The following is a 12,231-nucleotide window of genomic DNA, read 5'->3' as shown; positions in this document are numbered from 1 at the left end:
TACTACAGGATGGGTAGCTGGTTAGACTGCCTCTCAAGTCCCTTCCACAATGACACTGTCTGAAAAGTCACTCTCAAGGCAGATAGCAACCCAACCTTACTCCATGAGCTCTTCACTAGGAAGTCTCCTTACAATGACCCCCTGAGCTCTTGTTTATGGACCAAATTGCTATGCTGGCTATAGAATGAGTCCTTACTCTAGCAGCTATTTTTCAAACATGTGCTACTCACTGGTACTGAGGATGAAATAGCATGAGTCAATCTGTGCAGCCCACTCTAGTATATATATCCTACTAGATAGGGTTGCTTTTTTGTTTTTGTTTTTGTTTTTTGAGACAGAGTCTTGCTCTGTTACCCAGGCTGGAGTGCAGTGGCACGATCTCAGCTCACTGCAGCCTCCACCTCCTAGGTTCAAGTGATTCTCCTCCCTCAGCCCCCTGAGTAGCTGGGACTACAGGTGTGCATCTCCACACCCAGCTAATTCAAATAGGGTTTTTATGTTCCAGAGATGATCCCATTTCTGTCTCCTCTAGGCAGATCTCCAGCCATAAGATTCTTGTGTGGGTTATGGTCTTGGTAAGAGCTTCCAGTCCCCCAGTCTCCCAGAGCACTCTGGCACAAAGTCCTGAGTTTAAAAATCTGTCACTCACGCAAGAAGCTGCACTTGCAGCACAGGCAATATCTGTCGCTCCTTCTTCCTTGACCGCTTAAAGATGTTGTTCTCCTCCTCATGAAGGGAGTGGCGGTCTGTGGTACAGGGCACATCCACCAGCACCTACCCAGAGTGTTAAAGGGTAAAGTATTAAAGATCCTTATAGGCTTCTCTTCCTTAGGCCAGAGATGTTTTAGGCCCCTGGCCTAAGTTTGTGAAATATTCCCTCTGCCCATCCCTCCTTTGCAGAGTACCTGACAAAGTTCTTCATTTTAACTTGGTAGACAATTGTGAAATAATGAGTGGAAAATAGTATATTTGGGAATATTCATGGCTGGTCAAAAACCCAAAACTAACACACAAGTAACTATAATTTTTTTTTTTTTTAATTTTTAGAGACAAATCTTGCTCTGTTGCCCAGACTGGAGTACAGTGATGTGATCATAGGTCATTGCAGCCTCAAACTCCCTGGGATCAAGCAATCCTCCCACCTCAGCCTCCTGAGTAGCTGGGGCCATAGATGCAAACCACCACTCCAGACTAATTTACATATATATATATATATATATATATATATTTTTTTTTTTTTTTTTTTTTTGAGATGGAGTCTTGCTCTGTCGCCCAGGCTGGAGTGCAGTGGCGCAATCTCGGCTCACTGCAAGCTCCGCCTCCCGGGTTTACGCCATTCTCCTGCCTCAGCCTCCCGAGTAGCTGGGACTACAGGCGCCTGCCACCATGCCCGGCTAATTTTTTGTATTTTTAGTAGAGCCGGGGTTTCACCGTGCTAGCCAGGATGGTCTCGATCTCCTGACCTCATGATCTGCCCGCCTTGGCCTCCTGAAATGCTAGGATTACAGGCATGAGCCACCATGCCCGGCCTAATTTTTGTATTTTTGTAGGGACAGCATTTTGCTATGTTGCCCAGACTAACTATAAGATAATTCTTTAAACAGTACACTTATGATTTGGTCACTTCTGTATTATACTCCAATAGGAAAGTTATTACAGTCTGGAAAACATAGTGAGACCCCACCTGCACAAAAAAAATTTTTTAATTAGCCGGGCGTGGTGGCATGCACCTGTAGTCCCAGCTACAAAAAATTTAAAAACTAGCCAGGCATGGTGGCACACACCTGTAATCCCAGCTACTCGGGAGGCTAAGGCAGGAGAATCGCTTGAACTTGGGAGGCAGAGGTTGCAGTGAGCCAAGATCGCGCCATTGCACTCCAGCCTGGGCGCCAGAGCAAGACGCCATCTCAAAAAAAAAAAAAAAAATTTAGCCGGGCGTGGTGGCAGCGCTCTTGTAGTCCCAGCTACTACTCAGGAGGCTGAGGTGGGAGAATTGCTTGAACCTGGGAGGCGGAGGTAGCAGTAAGCCAAGACCGCGCCACTGCACTCCAGCCTTTGGCAACAAAGTGAGACTTCGCCTCGAAAAAGAAAAAAAAAAGCTTACTACAGGACACAAAAATAACCACAAAACTTAAAAGGAAACACGACTCCTTGAGCAAGTCAGCAGAAACAGCAACCAGTAAAACTAAATTCCCAGTTTATTTGTTTGTTTGTTTTTGGGATGGAGTCTGGCTCTGTCACCCAGGCTGGAGCACAATGGCACGATCTCGGCTCACTGCAACCTCCACCTCCCGGGTTCAAGCGATTCTCCCACCTCAGCCTCCTAAGTAGCTGGGACTACAGGCGCACAATACCACGCTCAGCTAATTTTTGTATTTTTTTAGTACAGACGGGGTTTTGCCATATTGGCCAGGTTGGTCTCGAAATCTTGACCTCAGGTGATTTACCCGCCTCAGCCTCCTAAAGTGCTGGGATTACAGGCATGAGCCATCATGCCTGGCCGGCCCCAATTTGTTTTTTCAATGAGACTAGTCAACTGCTGGAGTGAGAAAGGGAGAAAGAGCAGGAGTGAGAAGGGGAGAAAGAGTAGACGAAGTTCCATCTGTAACTGATTGTCAACAATAGTTTTGATATAGGAATTATCCAATGTAGAATTAAAATATTAATATAAACCTTCCTAAATAACAAAAGAAGTTAAAAGAAAAACAAAACAGCAAGGACAGAGACCCCACAGTGAAAGAAACATGGTAAATAAACACAGTAAAATAATTTGACAGGTGTCAGGCACAGCGGCTCATACCTGTAATTCCAGCACTTTGGGAGGCCGAGGCAGGCAGATCACAAGGTCAAGAGATCGAGACCATCCTGGCCAACATGGTGAAACCCCATCTCTACTAAAAAGACAAAAATTAGCTGGGTGTGGTGGCACGCACCTGTAGTCCCAGCTACTCGGGAGGCTGAGGCAGAAGAATCGCTTAAATCCAGGAGGCACAGGTTGCAGTGAGCCGAGATCGTACCACTGCACTCCAGCCTGGCAACAGAGTGAGACTCCATCTCAAAAAAAAAAAAAAAAAAAAAATTAGGCCAGGAGCAGTAGCTCATGCCTATAATCCCAGCACTTTGGGAGGCCGAGGCGGGCAGATCACCTGAGGTAAGGAGTTCGAGACCAGCCTGGCCAACATGGCGAAACCCTGTCTCTACTAAAAATACAAAAATTAGCCGGGCACAGTGGTGGGCACCTGTAATCCCAGCTACTCAGGAGGCTGAGGCAGGAGAATCGCTTGAACCCAGGAGGCGGAGGTTGCAGTGAACCAAGATTGCGCCACTGCACTCCAGCCTGGGTGACAGAGCGAGACTCCGTCTCAAAATAAATAAATAAATAAATAAATACAAAAATTAGCCAGGCATGGTGGCGGGCGCCTGTAATCCCAGCTATTTGGGAGGCTGAGGCACAAGAATTGCTTGAACCCGGAAGGTGGAGGTTGCAGTGAGCCAAGATGGCACCACTGTACTCCAACTTGGACAACAGAGCGAGACTGTCTCAAAAAATAAATAAATAAAATGATAATAATTTGACAGAGCTGAGACCAAAATCATCAATGGCATCAATTGCTTAAGTCAGCAATGAAAAGAATAAAATTTATAGATTGGCTCACAAAGCAAAACCTGTCTATGCAGCATATAAGAGATACACCTAAAAGGAAATGACCTAAATATAAAGGGATGAGCAAAGGTATAACTGCAATCCTTTAAAAAAAAAAGCTGTAGGAGTTTCCCCAACCCAAAAAGGAGGAAATGTCTACAGACTCTTTCCTTACTCCTTCTCAGTGTCCTCAGTCATGGTCAGAACTTTTAGGAAGATGGCTGCAAGGTATACTTAGGACCGCTGGACTCCTGAGCCCCTAATGCAGAGAAACAGCAGAGCTATGTAATTTCAAGGGGACTATAAATCGATGGCAATATATCTGAATATCTTGGTTCTAATATATTTCTAATATTGTTTCAGTAGTGTTAACTGTGGAAAATGTTCATGTTGAGAGGCCAAGGCGGGCGGATGGCTTTAGCCCAGGATTTCGAGACCAGCCTGGGCAATATGACAAAACCCCGTCTCCACAAAAAATACCAAAAAAATTAGCTGGACATGCTGGCACATGCCTGTACTCCCAGCTACTTGGGAGGATGAGGCGGGAGAATTGCTTGAGCCCAGGAAGCAGAGGTTGCAGTGAGCCGAGATTGTGCCATTGCACTCCAGCCTGGGCGATGGGAGTGAAACCCTGTCTCAAAAATAAAAAAATATGTTGATCTCACTCAGTCACAGAAGAAAGAAAAGGAAGTTGTACTGTTGCACTACACTTAGGAAACATTTAGGGAGGGTAGTCAAACCACTCAACATCAGATATGGCACATGCATCTTCACATCAGGCACTGGCATGGATGTCAGTCATAAATAACCAGTCGTGCCAGGATAGTGCTCCCACTGAATCTCAGCCCTGGGCAAGTGTCTAACAAATATTATTTGTATTAATATCAATTTGTATAATATTGTATTATAAGGGAAGATAGAAACATGTTCAAATAAACATTGTATTATTTGAAATAAACTTGAGCTCACATAAAAAAGAAAGTTGTGACATGGGGGGGTTAGTGTCTTCCATGAACATGCAGAGCTCTGAGGTCCTGTCCCTTCTCCAGCTGATGGACAAGTGGAGCGGGAGAAGGATGGAGTTACCAAGAGTATGTAGAGCCCTGAAGTAGTATTCTTCTTCTTCTTCTTCTTTTTTTTTTTTGAGACGGAATCTCGCTGTCTCCCAGGCTGGAGTGCAGTGGCGCGATCTCGGCTCACTGCAGGCTCTGCCCCACAGGGTTTACGCCATTCTCCTGCCTCAGCCTCCCGAGTAGCTGGGATTCCAGGCGCCCGCCATCTCACCCGGCTAATTTTTTGTATTTTTAGTAGAGACGGGGTTTCACCGTGTTAGCCAGGATGGTCTCCATCTCCTGACCTCGTGATCCGCCCGCCTTGGCCTCCCAAAGTGCTGGGAATACAGGCGTGAGCCACCGCGCCCAGCCTTGAAGTAGCATTCTTCTTTGCATCTAAAGTGCTTAACACGGCTGGGCACGGTGGCTCACACCTGTAATCCTAATGCTTTGGGGGGCTGAGGCAGGAGGATCACTTGAGCTCAGGAATTCGAGACCAGCTTGGACAACATAGTGAGACCTCATCTCTACAAAAAGTTAAAAAATTAGCCAGGCATGGTGCACATGCCTGTAGTCTCAACTACTTGGGAGGCTGAGGTAGGAGGATCACTTAAGCCCAGAAAGTCAAGACTGCAGTGAGCCATGATTGCGCCACTGCATTCCAGCCTGGGCAACAGAGCAAGACCTTGTCTCAAATAAATAAATAAAAGTGCTTAACACTTGCCTACCACAGAGTATATTGTACACAACTAGTTTTTTTTTTTTTTTGAGACAAAGTCTCACTCTTGTTCCCCAGGCTGGAATGCAATGGCGCGATCTCAGCTCACTGCAACCTCTGCCTCCCGGGTTCAAGCAATTCTCCTGCCTCAGCCTCCCAAGTAGCTGGGATTACAGGTGCCTGCCACCACACCCGGCTAATTTTGTATTTTTAGTAGAGACGGGGTTTCACCACGTTGGCCAGGCTGGTCTCAAACTCCTGACCTCAGGTGATCCACCCACCTTGGCCTCCCAAAGTGCTGGGATTACAGTCGTTAGCCACCGTGCCCGGCCACAACTAGTTTTTCAACAAACAAGTTAACAAAGACATCTTCAAACATTAAAGCTGTCAAGTGAAATAGCAGGTCACTCATTCTATATTGTTCTAAAATAAGTAGCTAGGATCAATGAATGGAAATAATAATAATAATGGTAAGGATTGTGATGATTATACTACTACTGAATGTTTTCTATATTCCAGACATTGTGCCAAATGCATTCTTATTTAATTTTCACCTACGGGATAGGCACTATACTATTATCCTCATTTTACAGATGAAGAAGCTGAAGCTTAACTGAAAGTTAAGTAACTCACCGAAACTTCTCTGGCTGATAAGTAATGGAACCAGGACTAATCCAAGCAGTCTGACTCCAGAATCCTTGCCCTAACCCATATACCATGCTATCTACAGATTGCAGTAAGAGGCAGAACTTCCTAACATTGTAAGTGTTCAACAACAGAATCTCAGTGTGCACCCATCAACGGATGTGTTTAAGCATAGGCTGAATAATGATAATGGGTCCTGCTTGCCTAATCTTCACCGCCAGGTACTATACTAAGTGCTTTCCCTGGATACTCTCACTGAATCCTCACAATAATCCTAAGTGGTAGGATTACCCTGTTTCACAAACGAAGAGGTTGAAGTTCAGCAAGATCAACAGTTTGCCTAAGGTTAGTAAGTAGCACCCCTGTAATGTAGAAACTGGTTAGGCTGACAGGAGAGGTCATGCTCTCTCCATCATGTTCCACTGCTCTCATATCAAGAAAAATGAATAGGCCGGGCGCAGTGGCTCACGCCTATAATCCCAGCACTTTGGGAGGCTGAGGCTAATGGATCACTTGAGGTCAGGTGTTCGAGACCAGTCTGACCAACATGGTGAAACCCCGTCTCTACTAAAAAAATACAAAATTAGTCAGGCGTGGTGGCACACACCTGTAATCCCAGCTGCCTGGGAGGCTGAGGCAAGAGAATCGAACTTTGAACCCAGGCTTGAACCCAGGAGGCGGAGGCTGCAGTGAGCCAAGATTGCGCCACTGCACTCCAGCCTGGGCAACAAGAGCAAAACTGTCTCAAAAAAAAAAAAGAAAAAAATGAGTAGGGGATTCCTACACAGGCAGAAAGCAAGTCTCAAGCCTATCTAAGATTCCATAAGCCTTGGTCTTTCTTTCAGTTTCTTAGAGTGGTTGAGGCAGAATGGTGAGAACTAGACAGATTAGGTAAATCAGGTGACAACACAGAGACAACAGCTATATATTTTATATATTTTTAGAAATATGTGTTCTAAACAAATATTTTTAGAGTATGCCATTTAAAATAAAATAAATAACTTAAAAACATGAAGAGACTGGCCCAGCACAGTGGCTCACACCTATAATCCCAGCACTTTGGGAGGACAAGGTGGGAGGACTGCTCAAGCCCAGGAGTTCGAGGCCAGCCTGGGCAACATAGTGAGACCCCGTCTCTACAAAAAATCATTTGCTGGGCATGGTGGCACACTCTAGTCCCAGCTACTCGGGAAACTGAGGCAGGAGGACCCCTTGAGCCCAGGAGGTTGAGGCTGCAGTGAGCCGTGTTCACACCACTGTACTCCAGCCTGGGTGACAAAGTGAAAACCTGCCACTCAAAAAAAAAAAACTTTAAAAAAATTAATATGGAGATTTTCAACATGATTAATAAGAGATTGTAAATTAGATACTATCCATTTGGCAAAAAAATTAAGTTTGATAGCACCAATATTGGCAGCATGTGGGAAATCAGTACTCATTCATTACCAGTAGGAGTGAAACTGGTTTAACCTCCACAGAGAAATTTAGCAATCGCTATCAAAATCTTAAATGGATGTAAACTGTTATTCAACAACTATACTTCCACAATGTCAACAAAATTAAAAAAGGATTTAACCCCAGGACACATTATTAAATAAAAAAATACAAAGTTCAGAATAGTGAGTATAATATAATATACTACCGGCTGGGCGCAGTGGCTCACGCCTGTAATCCTAGCACTTTGGGAGGCCGAGGCGGGTGGATCACGAGGTCAGGAGGTCAAGACCAGCCTGGCCAAGATGGTGAAGCCCCGTCTCTACTAAAAAAAATACAAAAATTAGCCGGGCGTGGTGGTGGGCGCTTGTAATCCCAGCTACTCGGGAGGCTGAGGCAGAGAATTGCTTGAACCCAGGAGGCGGAGGCTGCAGTGAGCAGAGATCGCGCCATTGCACTCCAGCCTGGGCAACAAAAGCGAAACTCCGTCTCAAAAAAAAAAAAGAAACAATCGTTATCTATAGGGTGGGGAAGTAGGGGGCTACAGGCCAGATGAGAAAAACTCACTTTTCATTGGATACTCTTTTGTGCCTTCTGAATTTTGTACCATGTGCTGTACTAACATTCAAAAATAAATAAATGAGCTTATTCTTACTTACCTTCATGAGGCTTTCTGAGCAACCAAGTGACTTGAGAAATAAAGTAAGCCTAGTAAATTTTTCCCCTACTCAAATAGTTTCAAATTCTTTTTTGCTGCCAACTATCTTTAATAGAGATAATAACCAGTCATCTAAGCTGATTTTTCTTTTGGTCAAATCACCAATGTAGAACTGGCCAGTCCAGAAACAGCTCTACATGCTCAAACATAGGGGCTGGATCCTAACCCCTCAGGCCCTAGAACCAGGATGGGGAGGCCGCATTAAGCTGGATGCATGTCCTAAATCAAGAATCACTCACCCGGTCATAGGTGTCCCCCTCCAGTTCTCCCCATTTCCTGCCATCCCATGAGGTAACTCGAACTTGATTTCCATCCCTGATCTCTTCAGGCACATAGCTGTGAAGGATCTTCTGTAGTCTGGCTATTCGGGACGGGGAGAGATCATTGGCAGCAAGATTGCCTATGGAAATAAAGATACTTCAGAGGCCATGACCCAATGAAACATTCCACCAGCAATGGCGCTGATGGAGTCAGACCAATTCTCAGGTAGTCCCAGCCAATGCAAACCCCAGCATCAGGAACATTTATTATGTGCATGGCACAGCATCAGTCATTCTGAGTGGGGGTACAATGGCAAACACCTAAATGGGCCAGAAAGTATCAAAGTTATTTAAGTCAATGAATAAAGCAGACCAAGTAAGACTCCTTTCCTTTCTCCTTTCCTGTCCTCTCTCCCCTTTCTCCCCTTTCTTTCCCCTTTCCCCTTTTCCTTTCCCCATTACTTTCGCCTTTCTTCTCTCCTTTCCCTCTCCCCTTTCCTCCCTTTCCTTTCTCTCCTTTTCTTTCTCTCCCTCTCTTTCCTTTTGTTTTTTTTTTAAGACAGAGTCTCATTCTGTCGCCCAGGCTGGAGTTCAGTGGCACACTCTCAGCTCACTGCAACCTCCACCTCCTGGGTTCAAGTGATTATCATGCCTTAGCCTCCTGAGTAGCTGGGACTATGGGTGTGCACCACTATACCCGGCTAATTTTTGCATTTTTAGTAGAGACAGCATTTCACCATGTTGGCCAGGCTGGTCTTGAACTCCTGACCTCAGGTGATCCCGCCTGCCTTGGCCTCCCAAAGTGCTAGGATTACAGGTGTGAGCCACTGCACCCAGCCACATTCTTTTTTTTTTTTTTTAAAGACAGGGTCTCTGAGTCTGGGCATAGTGGCTCACGCCTCTCATCCCAGCACTTTGGGAGGACGCCAAAGTAGGTGGATTGCTTCAGCCCAGGAGTTCAAGACCAGCCTGGGCAACATAGCGATACCTCATTTCTACAAAAATAAAAATATATTTAAATAATTTTTTAAAAAGAGACTGGAAGGCCAGGCACGGTGGCTCACACCTGTAATCCCAGCACTTTGGGAGGACAAGGCAGGCGGATCACAAGGTCAGGAGATCGAGACCATCCTGGCTAACATGGTGAAACCCCGTCTCTACTAAAAATACAAAAAATTAGCCGGGCATGGGGGTGGGTACCTGTAGTCCCAGCTACTCGGGAGGCTGAGGCAGGGGAAAGGCGTGAACCCGGGAGGCAGAGCTTGCAGTGAGCCGAGATGGCGCCACTGCATTCCAGCCTGGGCGACAGAGCAAGGCTCCATCTCAAAAAAAAAAAAAAAAAAAAAAAGAGACTGGGTCTCACTATGTTGCCCAGGTAGGTCTTGAATTCCTGGCCTCAAGCAATTCTCCCACCTCAGCCTCCCAAAGTGCTGGGATGATGGGTGTGGGCCACCATGCCCAGCCAAGAATATTTATTTCTAAAAAAATATGCTCTCCCACTATTCTGGAAACCTATGGCTCTCTTCATCTTTGGTAGATACTACAGTTTATTTAGCCAAAATCATTCTCCTCTTCCTCCTTATTAATAGAACCCCAATTTTTTGGAAGGGGAAAATTGCCCCAAAAGACTACATTTCTCAACCTTTCTTTAGTTTCGCTCTTGTTGCCCAGGCTAGAGTGCAATGGCGCGATCTCGGCTTACCATAACCTCCGCCTCCCGGGTTCAAGCGATTCTCCTGCCTCAGCCTCCCGAGTAGCTGGGATTACAGGCATGCGCCACCACGCCGGCAAATTTTGTATTTTTAGTAGAGACGGGGTTTCTCCATGTTGGTCAGGCTGGTCTTGAACTCCCGACCTCAGGTGATCTGCCTGCGTCGGCCTCCCAAAGTGCTGGGATTACAGGTGTGAGCCACCACACCCGGCTAAGCCTTTCTTTTACAACTAAGTATGACTATATGACTAACTTTTGGTCATAGTTGTAGGCATAAGTATTGGATAGGAATTCTGGGAAGATATTTTTAAAAGGCTGACATAATTGGGAGATGAAATGAGTCTCTTTTGCCCAATCCTTTCCTCTTGACTCAAATATGGATGTGATGGCTGGACTTCCAGCAGTCATTCTGGACCATGAGGCCTTGCCTTAGAGCTTTACTAGTTACATATCTTCTCCCTCTTAAAGGGAGGGAGGCTAAGGCTGACACTAGCAACAAAATACGTTGCAAAAGGAAAAAGGGAGCTTAAGTCCCTGATAATTGTGGAGCCTCCATACCTGGAGTGCCTATATCTCAGCTTCTCTTATGTAAGAGATAAATTAATGTTTCCTCTTTAAGCCAATTAGTTAGGTTTTCTATCAAATGCAACCAAACCTAATTCTGATTTACCATCTACCTTTCATTTTCTCTTTATTGGTAGACATGAGTTCAAGAAATATCTCACTTTGCTCTTAGTGCTACTATGAGAAAAATATTGCAAGCTTGATGATAAATGACACTTGATACCTGGCCTCTGAGTCAAAGAACAACAAGGTAGGGTGGGAATGGTAAAGAATGCGAGATGCAAGTGTCCACCTTATCTAATAGTGGTCACTACTATGAACCAGCTTAGTAATCCCATAAATAAATGTCTCCTTTTTTTTTATTTTAATGAAGATGAGGTCTATGTTGCCCAGGCTAGTCTCGAACTCCTGGACTCAAGTATTCCACCTGCCTCAGCCTCCTAGCTTGTGCTGGGATTACAGGCGTGAGTCACCGCCCCCCGGCCAATGTCTCCATTTTTGAGGGCACTCAAAGAAGTAAAAATTGTATTCTCTGCTCTAGAGGAATTTGCAGAAGGATATGAACTGAGAAAAAGAAAGATGGGTTCCAGTTCTGGCTCTACCTCCAATTCTTGTATTATTTATTTAATCTCCACAGAACTCAATTTCTCCCTCCATAAAATATGAGGGCTAGACTAAGTAAACACTAATTTCCCTTCTTATACAAATTCTGTGATCCCGTTTTCCTCGGATCAAGAGTTGTCGCTTGATGAGGAGCTGGGATGAAGGTGAGGTGCTGATAGTTAAGCATGCCTTAGAAGAACAACTCTCAATTACTTCTTCTTTGCCCTTCTTCCTCCTCCTAGTTCAAGTTCCTCCTCCTCCAAGTAACCCTACCCTTACTCATCTCCCTTCTAATGGATTCCCACAGCATTCAGTCAGATAAGAATTGTCCAGCACACAGGCTGGGCTCTCTTGCATTGGATTCATTAAGCCCATGACCCCACCTTTTCTTCTCTCCCTCTGGACTTCCAGAAGGCTATGACCGAATGTGATATCTCTCTGAATCAACCAATGCCTATCATAAGGCTGGATGCTGACTCAAACTGTGCAAGCTGGCTGACAAGACCTGGAAAAGAAGGGTCTAGGTCCAACAGAAGGGCTTGGGCACACGGCAAGAGAAGCCTGGCTGAGCTCCAGGTTAGGTGTGTAAATTACGGCCCTTTGTCAGGGGCCAAAGGAAAAAAACTATCTATTTTAAGGCAGGATATCGGCCAGTGGATGGCTGAAGTGAGTACTTAACAGTGCACAAGGCGCCAGGCGCGGTGGCTCACGCCTGTAATCCCAGCACTTTGGGAGGCCAAGGTGGGCGGATCACGAGGTCAGGAGATCAAGACCATCCTGGCTAACACGGTGAAACCCTATCTCTACTAAAAATACAAAAAAATTAGCCGGGCATGGTGGCGGGTGCCCGTGGTCCCAGCTATCTGGGAGGCTGAGGCAGGAG

The 12,231-nt window shown here is 45.5% G+C and overlaps 1 protein-coding gene across 22 annotated transcripts in view; it reads right to left on the bottom strand.

The window, feature by feature from the left end:
- Positions 1–12,231, bottom strand: part of NSUN4 (NOP2/Sun RNA methyltransferase 4) — a 44,393-nt gene that overhangs the window by 23,722 nt on the left and 8,440 nt on the right. For 16 of the 22 annotated variants that reach the window (NR_045789.2, NR_170621.1, NR_170619.1 and 13 more), the window contains 2 exons: positions 8,450–8,610; positions 650–774 (listed from right to left, as the gene is read on the bottom strand). Coding sequence is in view for 11 of the 22 variants with exons in the window: in NM_001387270.1 (NP_001374199.1) it covers positions 650–774; positions 8,450–8,610 (286 nt within the window). In the remaining 11 variants the exon portion in view is untranslated. Of the gene's footprint in view, positions 1–649; positions 775–3,818; positions 3,903–8,449; positions 8,611–12,231 lie in introns of all 22 variants that reach the window. The other 6 variants (NR_170618.1, NR_170617.1, NR_170622.1 and 3 more) reach the window with 3 other exon arrangements.

This window comes from Homo sapiens, chromosome 1 (genome assembly GCF_000001405.40).
Source record: "Homo sapiens chromosome 1, GRCh38.p14 Primary Assembly".
NCBI classification, from domain to species: Eukaryota; Metazoa; Chordata; class Mammalia; order Primates; family Hominidae; genus Homo; species Homo sapiens.
The sequence above is the reverse complement of the archived record's forward strand: the minus strand, read 5'-3'. Positions and strand labels throughout refer to the sequence as shown.